This window comes from Homo sapiens, chromosome 6, assembly GCF_000001405.40.
Source record: "Homo sapiens chromosome 6, GRCh38.p14 Primary Assembly".
In the NCBI taxonomy this organism is placed as follows: Eukaryota; Metazoa; Chordata; class Mammalia; order Primates; family Hominidae; genus Homo; species Homo sapiens.
Window position 1 is genome coordinate 13,205,417 of NC_000006.12, and position 17,133 is coordinate 13,222,549.

The 17,133-nt window shown below is 42.7% G+C and overlaps 1 protein-coding gene and 1 pseudogene across 20 annotated transcripts in view, besides 1 other annotated feature; both read left to right on the plus strand.

Moving 5' to 3' along the window:
- Nucleotides 1–17,133, plus strand: part of PHACTR1 (phosphatase and actin regulator 1) — a 571,071-nt gene that overhangs the window by 488,650 nt on the left and 65,288 nt on the right. For all 20 annotated transcript variants that reach the window (XM_005248934.4, NM_030948.6, XM_047418373.1 and 17 more), the window contains one exon: nucleotides 399–720. In XM_005248934.4, coding sequence (XP_005248991.1) covers nucleotides 399–720 — 322 coding nt within the window. The remainder of the gene's footprint in view (nucleotides 1–398; nucleotides 721–17,133) is intronic.
- Nucleotides 8,624–8,839, plus strand: RNU1-11P (RNA, U1 small nuclear 11, pseudogene; annotated as a pseudogene).
- Nucleotides 12,167–12,367: a silencer, noted in NCBI's record as "peak5664 fragment used in MPRA reporter construct". NCBI's record gives its function as "represses an SCP1 promoter by STARR-seq MPRAs in K562 erythroleukemia cells {active_cell/tissue: K562}" and the evidence as "EXISTENCE:reporter gene assay evidence [ECO:0000049][PMID:32103011]".

Below are 17,133 nucleotides of genomic sequence, written 5' to 3' on the forward strand. Positions count from 1 at the left end.
GGGACAAACTGCATCCAAACCATAGTTTGGCGTATCCTAGCAAAGGTTTCCTTGACAGTCCATGGGTGTCCATGAGCAGAAGAGCTCATCACATGCCTCCTTCCTCCTGCCTCACTATCTGGGCCGCTCCCAAGTCTCTGACATACTGTGCATTAGACACCACTAATGTCTGGGTTCCTGAAGGCCCTTATGGCCAGTGCAAGTGCACTTGGAGTAGGAAACAAGAGTCAATGGATACTTGCTGAGTAGCACTCATCACGCTGGTGCCTCCAACTGACGCATTTTACCTAAGAGGCTCAACTCATTGGCCACAGTCTCCAGGTGAGCGCATCTGGTGTTCTGAGTTTCTTCTGATGCCCCCAAACTCACATCTGCCTCTCGCCCTCTTTCTGCCACAGATCCTGGCGCCCCTGTGAAATTGCCTTGTCTGCCAGTGAAACTGTCGCCTCCGCTACCTCCAAAGAAAGTCATGATCTGTATGCCCGTGGGGGGGCCAGACCTCTCACTGGTGTCCTACACAGCCCAGAAGAGTGGCCAGCAGGGTGTGGCCCAGCACCACCACACTGTCCTGCCCTCCCAGATCCAGCACCAGCTGCAGTACGGCAGCCACGGCCAGCACCTCCCCTCCACCACCGGCTCCCTCCCCATGCACCCCTCGGGCTGCAGAATGATAGACGAGCTCAACAAAACGCTGGCCATGACCATGCAGAGGCTGGAAAGGTAAAGGTGGGCACCAGGAGGGAGGACGGGAGGAGAGGGGTTGGCTGGGGAGGGGGGCCTAGGGATTTGGACCATGACTTAGGAATGTGAACAAGGGGTCATCCCCACTGGGGGAAAATGTTTGAAAGTAAAATGAGACAAAAAACTGAAGGTCAAAGCATGGAAAAAAAAAATGTTGCCAATTGAAAAGCTCTGGAATAATCACATTTATCGGAAAGAAAAACTAACATTCATGTATATATGTATATGCTTATATATACACACAGTCCTCAGTGTCATTAGTAGGTTCGTGAAAATTGCAACTTCAGTAAAATAAAATCTAACAAAACCAACTTAACCATAGACTAATTGATATAAACAAGACTTAAGTTCCTATAGCATATTTCTGGTCACAAAAATATCACCAAACTTCTAAATAAAGACCACAACACTTCTAATATTAAACATTGAAATAAATGTGAGCTGTACATACATTTAAGAAAGGTTAATAAAAACAAAGAAGATGATTACCCAATTATTCCAGTTCCGGGTGGTGGCTAGCCAGAGCATGTCCTAGCAGCCCAAGGCACAAGGCAAGATCTGGCCCTGGTCAGACATCATCCCCTCACAGGGCACACTTACACCCACACCCACACCCACACTCACTCAGACCTAGGACAGTGTAGACATGCCATTTCACCTGACATATACATCTTAGGGATGTGAGAGGAAACCTGAGTACACGGAGAAAACCCATGCAGTCGTGGGGAGAACGTGCAGACTCCACACAGACGATGGCCCCAGCTGGGAATCAGTTTGTTTTTTTTTTCTCATCAATGTTATGGCAAAATGACATTGAATGAAATGACCTTATTCAAGGACCTGCTGTATATCCATCTTTGCATACGTGTGAGTGTACGCACATACACATGTACACACACACACATGCATGCACACATGCACACGCACATGCACGCACATATTGTGTCTCTATAAGCATTAATGTTTTGTGGAAAAATGTATACGTAGTCATTAATAGCATTTATTCCTGGTGTGGTGAAATGGGGAGAAAATACTTTTATATTTCATATCTTTCTATAGTACTTTTTAATTCTGTGTATATTACTTTTATGATACTCAAAAGAATTAAAATATGAAATAAGAAAAGATGAGGACTGGCAGGTGTTGGAGGGAAACAAGAGGGCTGGGGAAGGTGGGAAGGTATACCCTGTTCTTGCTGATGGAGGAAGCAGAGTCCCAGGCTCTGATTATGTGCACTTGTGAGGCTAATATTTGGCCACTACCAAGGCAGCTCCCTCTTTCACCAGAATATGCCTCCAGTCGCTCTTCGGGGAGAGCTGCAAAGATGACCCCACAGGCAGGCCTGCAGCCACGACCCTAACTCCTCACCACATAGGGAGATCTCTCAAACTGGTTCTCAATTACTCTTGATTGTGTATACACACATGAGTGTATGTGTGTGTGTGTGTGTGTATTCAAACACCGCCACCTACCTCACATCCAAGAAGGCACTGGGATTTCCCACTGGGGCTCTGAGGCACATTGCTTGACTGAGTGCCCTGGTGTAACAAGGAGAAAGTATGATTATGAGGTGCAAAGGGTATCTCTGACTGTGAGCTGAATGCTTGTCCCATAGTAGTGGCTGCTGGTCATTGGGTCCTACAGATGGAAAATGGCAGTATGGAGGTCCCAGCGAATCACCAGAGAGCTAAAAGCGAGATGCACAGGCGGGAGCTTCGGGTTGTGTTTTCCTGACTCTCGGTGGCTTTCTCTGCTCCTGCCTGTCAGCTGAGTATTCTGCATTTGGGAAAGGAGTGATTCACTGGGAGGTTGCTGTGTCTAGGAATTCTGACTTGATTGTTTGGTGTTAACACCTGCCCTTGCTGCAAAAGGAAAAAAACAAAACTTAATTTGGCCCCTTGCTGTCATTGGCAACTATTCTTGTTATTAATTAGAACAATAATAATTTAAAATGTGGCTGGCACGTTTTAATCTATTACACATACACATTGTCATCACTGTCATTGTCATCTTATTTAATCCTCACATCATCTACGGAAACGGAGTAGATGGAGAAACTAAGGGAGGTTCACTAAGTTCCCCAAAGCCACCTTCTCAAAGGGTGGCCCACAAATGGCTTATCTCACATCTGCAACCACGTAAGTGCAGACATTGAGAACAAGTTTTAGATACTCTTACAGCAATATGACAGAATAATTTCATGTCTGTTGAATCTTGTCATTAAAAAGGGCTTCATTATTTTTACATTTGTATTATATTTTACAAAAGCATCAGTTTGTGATGGATCGAAAATGGAAAGAACTAAACAGTAAGAACTGTTTCTTCCCTGTAGATGTTTGGAAAACACTACCCTAGGTAGTAAGTTGAGAGGCTAAGCCTCCAGCCTGGGTCTTCCCTCTCCAAGTCCAGAGATCTTTGTACTAACACACAGCTGCTTCCTAAGGACATGTAGCAGCCAACGTCATTGCTGCCCACCCCCCCAACCCCATGTCTACATGCACCCACTAAGTTTTCATATCTCTCATGAGCGTCAATCATCAGAAAAGATACTTGGATAGCATGTTAATAGTATATTGCTAAATATGCTTCCACTTAAAAAAAACACCATATTAAAAGGTTCAATTAAAGATGCTAACTGACAAGTTTTATAATATCTGTGGGTATTTGCGGGATATTTCAGTTTAATTTAGACCAATGGGTAGATCTAGTCGGATAAGGGAATTTTGGTGGGGGCAGGGTATGCAGCATGATCTCGGCAGCAGAGCCAAGGCAGTCTCTGCGCTTTGTCCCAACTCAGAGTCATTTCCTCCTTCTTTCTCCCTCACTTCCCACTCGAGGTCAAAGCATAGGGTTGTCCTAACAGACCAACCAGGCTGCAGAGATTAATGCATGCATCAGTTTGACAAGATTGCCACCCCAGAGAAAGAGAGGCCCTCTTCCCAAACAAAGACCATCCCAGAGGCCCTCTTCCCAAACAAAGATTGGAGAGATTTTTCTGTGTGTCTCCAGTCATCTCCAGGAAGAATCTCAAAATAGGCCAAGGTCACAGGCCACACTTTTCAGTGTAGGGAGGGAATCACCAGCTGTCTTGGGTGATTTCCCCCTGATTTTTACTGCCTAAAAATTCTCCCTGTTGCCTGTCAACATGATTTCATTCTTGTTCTAACCAAGTTTTATACAGAAAGAAAGAATCATTTCTCTATCCTCCTGGCAATTTCCAGTGACCCCAAAAAACTCTGCAAGAAGGGAGAGGCATTACCAAACACTCAGGCATCCTGCCTTTAAAGTTCCTTGGACCGACCCCCTGTTTGGGCCATTGCTGCCCCCTGAAATCTCAAAGAATGTCACACCATAGGCCATCGGTCCAGATGGACAGTCTGATCCTGATGAAAAAGTTATAGGTAATATACAAAGTTGAATGGTGAATTAAACAGCATCAATGCCTGACACTGGACCATACATTTGCACAAGTCATCTTATCAATGAAAGGGGCCTTGAAGACCATCCAGGCCACCAAGCCCCTGCTCACAGCAGTGTTCCTGACCATTTATCCTCTGGTCTCTGCTCCAACAGGACGTTCCCCAGGTCCCAACATAGCCTGCTTCATTGTCAAGAAGGTCTGACTGTTAGAAAGTTCCCTCTCTATTAAAAGTTTTACTTACTGAAATTTGTATCTGCCCCTTCCCGATCTTATTTCTAATCTTCCTTTCCTGTAAAAGGCTTTTAAATCTTTGAAGATAGCTACCATTCCCTTCATTTAAGGACTTCTCTAGATCTTATACCATCTTGTTCGTGTTCCCCTGAGATTATACCAAATCTGCTCTGATTTATATGGAGAAGTTACTTTTTATTTATATTTTTTATTTTTGAGACAGCATCTCACTCTGGCACCCAGGCTGTAGTGCAGTGGCATGATCATGTCTCTCTGCGGTCTCGACCTTCCAGGCTCAAGCAATTCTCCCACCTCAGCCTCCTGAGTAGCTGGGATCACGGGTGCACGCCACCATGCCCAGTTAATTTTTTTTTATTATAGTTTTTGTAGAGATGGGGTTTTGCCATGTTGCCCAAACTGGCATCGAACTCATAGTCTAAAGTGATCATCCTGCCTCAGCCTCCCAAATTTCTGGCATTACAGGTGTAAGCCATGGCACACACCTGCAGAGAAGTTCTTAGACACTACCTTGCCTAAGCCTGCTTGATGGCACTAAACAATGGCGTGGTTATTTACAGCTTTGGCTCACAAGATTTGGGGGAAGGAGCTAGAATCCACTTGAAGCAAATTTAAAGGGTCATATTTATTCAAAATCACAGGGTTGCCCTAGGCAGTGGGGTCCGAGCTGGTGGCATCACACACCCCTACTTCAGGACAAAGTGTGTGGGTTCCAGAATTAACTGCCGGAGTTTGAGTCTTAGACACACCACGTATTAGCTGTGTGACCCAAAGCGTATGGCTCAACCTCTTTTTGATTTTCATGCCTTATCTGTAAAATAAAAATAATCATAATGCCAGCAGCCTCATTAGGGTCATTTGTAAGGATCAGATTATTTAATGAATCCAAATCAGTGGGGTTATTGCATGTCACACAGTAAGCAAATGGTATTGAACATTAGCCAGCATGGAAAATTTGTCTTCAGTGACCCTAGAATGGTTTGGGTAAGTCTGTTTGTTTGGGTAAGTTTCCTCAAATTAGATTATCTTCATTCCCCTCACCCTGGTGAGCCACATCTTTTGGAAGATGATGGTTTATCATTTCTTTTTTTTTTTTTTTTTTTTTTGCATTGAGATTTCCCCTCAACTTTCCATTCTAATAAATAACACTGCATTTTTTCCCCATTTTTGTACTTAAATCTTTGCTAGCCTTTACTCTTGTTCTTAAGAAACAAGCTTTTCTTAAAGTCATTAAAGAGTTGAATTCATGATTATTTAGTGACCCTGTTGTGGAACAACTTTTTATTTGTTTATTTTTATTTTTATTTCAATCGTTTTTGGGAAACAGGTGGTTTTTGGTTACATGGATAAGTTCTTTAGTGGTGATTTCTGAGGTTTGGGTGCACCCATCACCCGAGCAGTGTACACTGTACCCAGTGTGTAGTCTTTTATCCCTCACCAGCCTCCCACCCCTCCCCCTGAGTCCCCAAAGTCCATTATATCATTTTTATGCCTTTGTTATCATTTCAAAGATGATGCAGTGTTTTTATTTTTAATATCTGCAGTAAGCTCCGTGATCTAGTTGGCATCAATCCTAGAAGTCAGATGTAAAGTCCTAATCAGGACGCCGTTTCTTTCTGATCTTAATTCGGCTGATCTCTGTGTTCCAGTCTCCTATTAGTAAAATGAAGGTGGAATGTGGATCCATGTGGACCCTGAAGGAATTTTAGGAAGATTCTTAATGGAATGCACTTTAAAGAAGTCTTTCCCTTCTCAATTAAAGGCAACTTCACACTTTCAGTCGCTCATGCCAAAGACCTGGAGTCACCCTTGACCCCTTCCTTTCTCTGGTTCCCCACATCTGACTGTCCGCAAATCCTGTCTGGTCCACACTGTACATACACAGGGATAAGACCAACACTTCTACATGCTCCTTCTTCTCCTGCCTGAGCCTCAGTCGGCCTTGCCTGGCTTACTGCAGTTTCTCCCACCTGTTCTTCTGTGTCCACACCTGCTCTGCAGCCCATCCCCACTACAACAGCAAAAGAGACAGGGTTTGAGGAAAGTCAGATCGTGACTGTCTTTGTCTGCAAGGACTGCCATTTAAAAACACACACACACACACAATGCGTGACTTAGATGACAGAAATTTATTGTCTTTCAGTTCTGGACGCTAGAAGTCCGAGATCAAGGTGCCAACAGGGTTGGTTTCTCCTGGGGACTCTCTTCTTGGCTTGTAGGTGGTGTCTTCTCTCTGTGTCCTCACGTGGTCTTCCCTCTGTGTGTGGTTGTTCCTCATCTCTGCTTATAAGGACACCAGTGATAGTGGATTAGGGCCCACACCACTGACATCATTGTAACTCCCTCACCTCTTTAAAGACCCTACTTCCAAATACAGTCACATTCTGAGGCACTGGGACTTAGGACTTCAACATATGAATTTATCTGGGGACACTGCTCAGCTCTTAACAATGTCTGTGCCCAAAATGCTTCTGTCGCTGTCCAACTCACTAAGAGTAAAAAGCAAAATCCTCCCCATGGCCCAGAAGCCCACACCCACTCCAAGTTCTTTTGCAAAGAAAAATCTACTTACTCTTCAAGACATTATTAAAATACCAGGTCCTCTGTGACCCCTTCTCAGATTCTGGTACAGATCTCTGCCCTCCTGCACACACCCCTTTTGCATACTTGCATCAGGTTATGTGTTTCTCTCTATATTCTGTCTTTAATGTGGACAGGAACCATCCTTGTCTCCTCATCTGCTATGGTTTGAGCGTCTCTTCTCCAAAATTCAGGGTTGAAACCTGAGTATTAACGGACTGCCCCTGTGGTCTCCCTCGCTTCATCAGCTCCCCTCTCTGTTGCTCCCTCCTCCCTCACACAGCGGCCTTCCCACCATTCTCGCACATTCTCGGACATTCTCGGACGTGCCGGACACCTCCTGACGGGGCCTTGGCACTGGCTGTTCCCCTGGACGGACTGCCCTTCCCTCAAATATCCTCAGGGCTCCTACACTCACCTGCCTCGGGTCTCTACTCAAATGTCACATCCTCAATGAGGCCCTTCCCGTTCAATATTGCAACCCTCCTCGCAACACAGCCTGTTCCCCAGCTCCTTTTATTCCTATCAAAGCATTTTTCACCATCTAACGTTTTGTGTCATTTGCCTTTCATTCGGTTTGTTGCTCTTCTCACCTAATAGAACATACAGTCCACAAGGGCAGGAACTGTTTTGTTCATGGCTGTATCCAGAGTGCCTACAACAGGGCCTGGCTTATAGGTTTGAGTGAGTGAGTGAGTGAGTGAGTGAGTGAAAGAATAACTGAATGAATGGAGAGCCTCTCATAGCTGCAGTGATATTCTTTCACTTATTAATCTGCTTCCTATTGATGGATTGAGTTCTCACAAGGCATATGTTATATAAATATTAAGCAGTATTAGTGGTCTTTAACCTTTTATATTTTCTTTATTCTAACAATTTGAACTGTTCCCTCTGTTTGGAATGCACTCTCTTACATCCTGTCCTCTACCACCCAGAGCAGCTTCTTTCACAAAGAAAAATTCTTGTTCTTCAAGACATTAAAATACCAGGTCCTCTGTGATCCCTTCTCAGATTCCCATACAGAGCTCTGCCCTCCTGCACACACCCCTTTTGCATACTTGCAACAGGTTATGTGTTTCTCTGTATATTCTCTCTTTAATGTGGATGGGAACCATCCTTGTCTCCCCATTTGCTATGGTTTGAGTGTCTCTCCTCCAAAATTCAGGAGTTGAAACTTAATGGCCAATGTCTTAGTATTAACAAGTGGGGCTTTGAAAAGGTGATTAGGCCATGAGGGCTCCTCCCTCATGAACGACATTAAGACCCTTGTGAACTGGACTTCACACAGCAGCATAAAGCCCTCTTGGCCTTCCACCATGTGAGCGTGCCGCGTTTCTCCCAGCCAGAGGCTGCAGCCCTCACCAGACAGCCAAACCTGCCAGCGCCTTGATCTTGGACTTTCCAGCCCCGACAACTGTGAGGAAATACATTTCTGTTCTTCTTAAATTACCCAGTCTTGGGTATTTTATTATAGCAGCACAAATGGGCCACAATCTGCCATAGTACCTGTCATGTAGGAAGTATTCTGAAACTATTTATGGAGTGGGTTTCATTAAAAGTTACTCTAATCTTTGAAATAGAAAAATATCTTACTTTTATGATCAATGTTTTGTTACAAACTGTCTCAATTATAGAAACAGGCTTTTGCATACTTACCTGGCAGTGGAGATACCATGATCACGAAGGTGGTTTTCCCAGGGCGAGGCTTATCCATCGCACTCCGGATATGCTGACCCCTGCGATTTTCCCAAATGTGGGAAACTCGACTGCATAATTTGTGGTAGTGGGGGACTGTGCTTGCGCTTTCCCCTGAAAAAAAAAAAAGCAAGAAAAGAAACAGGCTTTTGCTGAGGATCCACTCCTGCTTCCCCTGTTGGGCCATTCCTGTTGTGTTGTGTTTGATGTTAGAAACAACGTACAAAGTTCCTCCCTTAAAATTAAATCTAGATCTTTACTTGTCATGCCTGATAATATCAAACTAGAGCTCCAGATACTATAATTTTGATTATGAACTTTAGCCATCATTGAAGTACATCGTCCCTTCTTATTAATTCTCTTGGAGCAAATCCTTCATGAATGATAAAATGGGAGAGGGGTCATCATCCTTAGCTAAGGTAGGGATGCTAAGATCGCTAAGGTGTAGGGAATCGTATTTGATAGTTCAGCTCTATCCAGTGTCCTTAGACTAAACCTGAAAGTTAACTTCCAGAATTTTACGCTGAGACCTGAAAAATAGGAGCAATCATGTAAGGAGGAGAAAGGCAATGCGGGTACATTCTAGACGGATTAGAGGAAGGAGTGTGTTGGTAGACCAGGTGAGTTCACATGGGAAGAATAATTGAAATCTCTGAGTTTGATCTAAAAAGGCTAAATATGAATGAGTTTTTGTTACTAGTATCATTCATGCATGCTATCAACTGATGCAAAATATCAATAGATATTTTTAATGATGCCTTCTTTACACCCAGTGAGTTTTAGTTTAGGAAAATTTTAAGTACCATACATTTAGTTCTGATGGAAATTGCCACCTATGGGCCTTAAAAATGAAAAAATAAATACGTTTCTAATAAATTCATTCTTTATCTACCTCTTCCTGTCCCAAAGTCCCTGAGCAGCTAAATGAAGAAAGCACTGACATTTGCCAGGAAAAAATTTCAGGCAATTACTGACTTGTAAACCTTGAATGAAAACAGGCCCTGCAAAAAGAAAGGATGGTACCTGTGTTTGCTTAGCAAATGGAAGATCCACCAATTCTTTGCTGAGTACATTTTCTAGACCAGGCTCCGTGCTTGGCACTGGGGATGTAACAGTGAACAAAATACAGAAGATAACCCTCAGTGCAGGTTAGAACCTGCTGGGAGTATAGACTGGACAGATCAGTACCCATGAGAGTGCAGGGAGGGAGAAGAATGTGCAACAGGAATGTCAACTGGTCTATGAAATTCGGAGTTGTCTTCTCTGAAGAACTGCATTTAAACTAAAAGCTAAAAGAGAGGAATAACCAGATGGAGAGGAGAATGGGAATGAGAGAACATTTAGGCAGATTAGAGGAAGGGGTGATATACTGTCTCCAGATAGAGAATGAGGTTTTTGATAAGAAAAGGGAGTTGGCATTTGTTTTCCAGGTTTTTAGAAGACATAGCATAGAGAATGAGATTGATGACGTAACATTGTAATCAGATATAAGGAAGAACCCAAGAGCCAACAGAGAGGACACTGAATATTTTTTAAGAAAAATCAGGCTAATAGGAGTCCCAAATGGTTTACTCATGTACTTATGTAAAGAAAAACCATACAGGTCGGATCAGCTGCTAAGGACATATCCAACTCTAACTGCAGATTAGATATATTGAAGTAGGTTAACTGTAATGTGAAATTTTGGAGAAGTAGAATGGCTTTACCTCTGCTGGCATAGTCAATGTACATCTGTGTTAACATGGATAAGCCAGTCCAATCTGGATGATCAACTAGATGCAGGAAAGTTCCAGAGTCGTCTTGAACTCTTAGCAACACCCATTGATCACTGCATGCCAAGCATTGTGATAGGCACAGAGTAACAAAGCAATCTTTCCTTTAAAATTATAACTGATAAGTTTATACGAATAGTTTATTATTTCTTATAATGTCCCCTTTTTACATTTACATATTAGCTAGAGATGAATTTGTCAAGAATATTGAAAAAGGAATCATTTTTACATTGGACAGAAGAAATTGAAATCAGTAGACCCTCAAATCCCTCCAAGCTCTAGAATTCTATTATCCCATGATTATTTTTAGGCCTTTCAAAGAGCACAATACAATTTATAATCCTTGGGTAAATACATTTCATGGTTACAATTACTTTTCTTCATGTTGCCTCAAGGGTCACAGGAAATTCTAAAGAATAATTCTTCCTCCTAAACTAGATGATCCCTAGGGTTTCTTTTAGCCTTAACAGTCTAAATAATTATTGTATTGGCTTATGTCTGTAATGTTTCACCTGCTAATTAGGGTGTTCCCTGACAATACACAGATATGAATCAGTGCCTCAGCAAGAATGAAACTCTGAACACCTAGGTGTTGTTTGCTTGTGAAGTGGTGTTGCTTTGTAGTTCCGTGTTTCTTCATGACATAACAAATGGCCTACATTGTTAAATGAAATATGTTTCCAGGGAAAGATTCTCTTCTTATGGTGATGATCATCTCTTCAAAATCTCACACAATTCCAGCTAGACATTTGTCCTTGCCCCTTGGAAGCCAGCACTGTCAATCTCTTACTTTAGGTCAGTTCTTTGATTTTAAAGCCTATATTTATCATCTTTAATTGCCTACACGTACATGTTGTTTTTCAGATTTAACTGCTATTCCAAGGTACATGATGTGGTTTTAGTGCAAAGTAATGTCATTATGAGCAAGACCCATCTTTCCCTATAAGGTTGGCAAGGAAATTGTCTAAGCAATTTCCTAAGTTGCTTAACTTTAAGGAAGTTAAAATGAAACTGTACAAACCATTAACACCTTTTTAAGACTTAAGAGGATTAAAAAAAGGAAGTGTATTTTCAAAAGAAAGGGAATCTGCTTTTGATTTTTTTTGCTTCAATAGAAATACTGCCCTTTTCCAATGCACAAATATTGACTCTTTGATCTTCTTGGAAACCATCGTCCAGAAAGTTTTGCAGATCAAAAATATTAAAACACTAAAGGAAATATTTTAATAAATTAGTGGGTAATATCTATAATGACTAATTTATGATAAATTGTTGGTGTTGACATGTACTCCTAGTTAAAACGGCAACTCTCAGCATTGTTGTCCAGGAAGCACACTGCACCAGCATTGTCTTCTAATTTCGCAGCTGCCTGGGAGGTGGGCACCTAGGTTTCTCCATTTAACTGATGAAGAGCCAAACACCAAGAGACAAGGTTAGCAATGGCCCAGCTGGGACTCGCACCATTCTGCTGACTCTCTGTCCTGCCTTTTTAGTACCCATGCTCAGCCAAGCATGCTAGAACACTCACCAGCGTCTAGGGACAAAGTCAAGTAGAAAAGCCACCACTGGTTTCTCCATCAGAAATAGAGAGTGCTGGGAGGGATGGGCTCTTGGTCAGACTCTGTGTGTCTTATGGTTTTGTTCATCACATCCCAATCCCAGATAATATTTCAGAAATGTGGGTCATTGGTCCCTGAAAGGACAGAGGCTGTGAACAAATTAATTTAAATCCATTACCACTGCTGAAAAAAAAAACTCAAAATACATTTTCTATTCAGGAAGGCTCAGTACCCTCGTCTATATATAGAACAGCATAGTTTCCTGCTGACTAAAGTTCAACAAAAAACAAAAGCTTTAATGTTACATGTCTTATCTTAGAAGGCTAATCCTAGGCCATGATAAACCACACAATGTATGCCTGCTTTCTTAAAAAGAAGCTGATTAACTATTTTCTTAGGCTACATTGGTTATTTCTGCTATTTTTCAGCCTCAGGCACTGCAATTTGCAGCATAATTTCTCACACATTTTTGGTCTCCAAGAGGAAAGTGGCTGATTATTCTCTCTCCCCTCTGAAAACTCTCTTCATAACTTGTGCAGACTAAATTACAAAAGCTGTTCCTGTTGAAGTTTAATTTGGCTTTCAGTGTCATATTTGTAGATAATAAATTTTCTCTGTCCTTTGAGGAGATTAATGTCTTTCTTTTTTTTAACAGTGGATGCATTTAAAATCAGATATCAGAAAGCAATATTCCCTTTATTACATGTTTTTCTTTAGAAATGATGGTGAAATGGATCCCACCTATTTTAGAGAAAGATTAAGGATTTAAAAGAGACAGTGATTTTCAATTTTATGACCTGCCCTTGATTCCCTACAAGAGTTTCAAAGGTGTTTGCCGGCCAGTAATTCCCCTCCCATGGATGGGTCACAGTGATTTCCTACTCATCAGCCTGTACCGTGGAATGGAGATAAAGTGATGATTACAAAGCCCCCTTGAAAAGGGAGTGCCTCTTATAATGACCCAGACTCACTGTAGATGTCTTGGCATTCATTCCTGTATGAAAGACTGAAAGTAAAGTCTGGGCCTTACCCTTATCCAGTAATGAACATGAAAGATAAGTCAGTGTCTTCATTTTTGAAGTCTAGAGATCCCTTAAAAATATTCGGCCATTGAAATGGTGGGAAAAGGCCAGGCACGGTGGCTCACTCCTGTAATCCTAACAACTTTGGGAGCCCAGGAGTTTGAGACCAGTCTGGCCAACATAGCGAGACCCCATCTCTACAAAAAAAATCAAAAAATTAGCCAGGTATGGTGACACCTGTTAGTACAAGCTACTCAGGAGGCTGAGGTGGGAGGATTGCTTGAGCCCAAAGGTCCAAGGTTGCAATGAGCTATTTAAAAAGAAGAAGAAGAAGAAGGAGGAGGAGAAGAAGAAGAAGGAGGAGGAGGAGGAGAAAAAGAGGAGGAGGAGGAGGAGGAAAGAGAAGAGAAGAGAAGAGAAGAGAAGAGAAGAGAAGAGAAGAGAAGAGAAGAGAAGAGAAAAGGTAGAAAAAGGGAAAGGAGGCAGAAATGGTTATCTACCCGGGCTCTCAACCTATGCATCTCCTACTTAGTTTAACAGAGTTAAAGAGAAGAGTCGAGTTTTCCAAAAAGAAGGCTTGGTAAAGGTCATTCTTGGTGGGAACAAGACCAAGGGAATAGAGTACAGCTTTTCACCTCCCTAAGGCATCCTGTAGATGTGATGAGAGGAAGGCAGTTTTAAATGTGTGCCTTTTATTGACTCGGGACTGCCATTTTCCTCTCAAGCTTTCCAAATATGTCTCTTTTCAGTGTTTCTTGTGTAAATAGCAAGGCTTCTGTTTTAGGGATACTTCTGTTCATTATTTTCTGTTCATTTAAGCTGTTCCATCCTCTAGGGGAAAATGAGGATGAAACAAAGTCCTCATCCTTGTGAGCTTACTCGTTAGTGGGAGCGACAGGTAATAAGCCTGTGAATGTGTAATGTGATGTCGGGCAGGGACGGGGCACTGAAGAACCATCATGCAGGGTCATGGGAGGAGCGTGGTGGTGATGCCTCTCTATCCTCAAGGAGACGTGTTATTAAAGTGGCCACAACAGATACAAAACCCACTGCACGACCCCTTTTTATCAGCAGCGCTCCGTTGTGCAAGGCTGGATTATCCAGCCTGGTAATTATTCTGTCCTTCCTCTTGTCGCCTATTCTCTCCGCACACCTACTCACCCCCAGCCATGTGCTACTCACACAAAACTTGTATCCCCAAGTCTAGAATTCAAACCCCCTCCCTGTGTGTTCCATAATAGCGCTCATCATGGGACTCTTCACAGCAAAATTCATAGCAAGAGAGTAGCTGGATTGTGTGAACATCTGTTATCCTTGCTTTTTGTTATAAAAATATTATAGTCCACGGTTTTTAAAATTTGCGGTATAAATTGCATTTCATAGTCAGCATATACATCTACAGAAAAAATGATGGGCTTTGCTGATTCTCCAGGAGAAAGCAACATGGTTCATGGAAAGAACACAGGCCCTGGGTGGGAAGACCTGAGTTCACATCCTGCTGTGATCACTGCCGAGTGATCACTGTGTTCTCAGAAACCTCATGTCCCCATTCATAAACAATCAAGATAATAACAATACCCTTCTTAACTCTGCAAGTTTTTGTGGTGATTAAATGAGATGATGAACATTTACAACACGCTTTCATAGGGCACTAAAGGACCATCTGCGGTAGCCATGTGGTGGTTTTGAAAGATGCTCCTGCTCCTTCATCCTGAGCTGTGGAACCCGCTGGTATCTTTAAGACATTGTGTGGAAATATTCCGAAATGGTGCATCTATCTGTCCAACATCTTGTGAATATCATGGAATGCTGTTCAGTTTCTGCATGTTCATCCCTATTACATTTGTCAAGAAAATGACATTATTTGGTGCTACCTAGGTGATAGGGAGCAGAAATTCATCTGTTTTTCCCTTGGAAAATAATTTAAGGCCTTTGGTCTTTGTTTAAATTCATTATAGAATGTTAGTATAAGAGGAAACCATATAGATCTCATCAAGCTTAATGACGTCACCTTACAAAGCAGCCTAACTTTGGACAGTCTGAATTAAAGTGGGCTGACGGCCTGTGAGTATAGAATTGGAAACTGGAATATCATAAGCTCTCTCTGTTACCTCTTCTGTGCAGACACAGTCCTGGAATGAAGGCCACACGGTACCAATGTGCTCTTGCTTGCATAGATCTCTGTGCCTTAGCTCCTTGAGTTGTCTTCTTAGGAAAAAGACCTCTAGAGCACTATTTCCAAAAATCCTAATGCTCCTTTCACAAAGATAATTTCCCTACAACAGCAAGACTCTATCTAAGGGTCAGGGATCCTAATTTTAGCAAATTAAGTAATTGAAAATGTAATGTGGTGTATTCTGATTGTGTGTGACTTCAATTCAAATATTTGATCAACTTATCCATCAGTTCCAAACACATGTGCAATGTAGAGGTAGAGGCAGGAAGATCATCAGCCTCTGTCTTGGAGAGGCTCACAGTTAATTGGCGTGGGGGGTAAATGCTTAGCCTGTAATTATAACATAATGTGGCAGATGCTATAACAAAGCTGGGAACAGAGGCTATGGATGTGCAGAGAAGGGACTGATTTCCATTGGAAAAATCAGAAAAGGATGCTCAAATGAAATGAGATTTGAGTCATCCCTGAAAGATAGGCAGGATGCTCTCTCTAGGCCAAAATCTGAAGGGTGAGTTCTGGGGCGGAGCAACTGCAGGAGCAGAGGGAGGAGGCAGGGAAGTCCACAGGGTACTTGGGCAATGGCAAGTGGTCTGATATGGCTGGAACCCTAGGAAGATGGTAAGGAATAATAACAAATGAGATTGAAAGGAGTTGGAGGGTCAGATCGTGAGGCACCTCTTAATCCATGCTGTAGAGGGTGGAGTTGATCCAGTTTACAATGAGGCCTTTCCTGGCTCTTTTGATTAGGAGAATTACATGATCAGACCAGTTTGACAGCAGAATAGAGGGTGGACTGGGTGGGTGGGGAGGGGGAGGGTCTGGAAGAAGATTAAAGTTTGCAACCATTGGGGGACCACTACTTCTACATAGGCAGTGGTATAGTGACATCAGTAGATCAGGTCCTGTAGTCTGATGGCCTGAATTCAGTGTCTGCACCCCTCTGGTTGTGTGACCTTGGCCACGTGCCTTTGCATTTTCCCATCTAAAACGGGAAGATCACAATAGTACCTATCTCTTAGGATCCTTGTGAGGCTTAAGTGAATCAACACGTGGGACAGTGTGAGCATTTAGAAATGTTAACTTCCATCATCATCTGTAATAATCCAGTTAGAATGAACAAAGGTGGCCGGGCACGGTGGCTCACGCCTCTAATCCCAGCACTTTGGGAGGCCAAGGCAGGTGGATCACAAGGTTGGGAATTCAAGACCAGCCTGGCCAAGATGGTGAAACCCTGCCTCTACTAAAAATATAATAATTAGCCAGGTGTGGTGGTGGGCACCTGTAATCCCAGCCACCTGGGAGGCTGAGGCAGAGAATTGCTTGAATCCAGGAGGCGGAGGTTGCAGTGAGCCGAGATCACGCCACTGCACTCCAGCCTGGGTGACAGAGTGAGACTCCATCTCAAAAAAAAAAAAAGAATGAACAAAGACTCCATCTCGGAGGTTAGGATGAGATTCCTCATGTTTACCTGCGGTTTTAGAAGCTAGTTAGCCCTTAGGAAGAGGGAGGGTGAACACAACCCATGTGCAATGAAGTCCATTTGAATTTGAAGCCAACTAAATGCTTAATGCCAAAGAATGTTGATGTGAGTGATCTAGAATAGATTTTATTACACGAGTCAGCAGTTCCTGTTGATAGGTACTCTGGAAGATGTGACTCTCTCAGACCACTGAGTGTCATTCAGTAAATCACTGATCTGGGCAAAGAATGAGAAAACCTGTTTCACTCAAGCGTCAGCCTGGAGCTCTTGCATTCATGGGGTAACTAACAGCTCAGGAACTGAAGGCAGGAGTGCAAGTAACTGAGTAAGTAGAACCCCACGAGCATCAGCATCTTGTTGCAGCCCCCAGAATGCCAGCCTCACACCTGATAAGTCAGGAACTCACATGAGAGGATCTGGACAGTTCTTCATCATTCA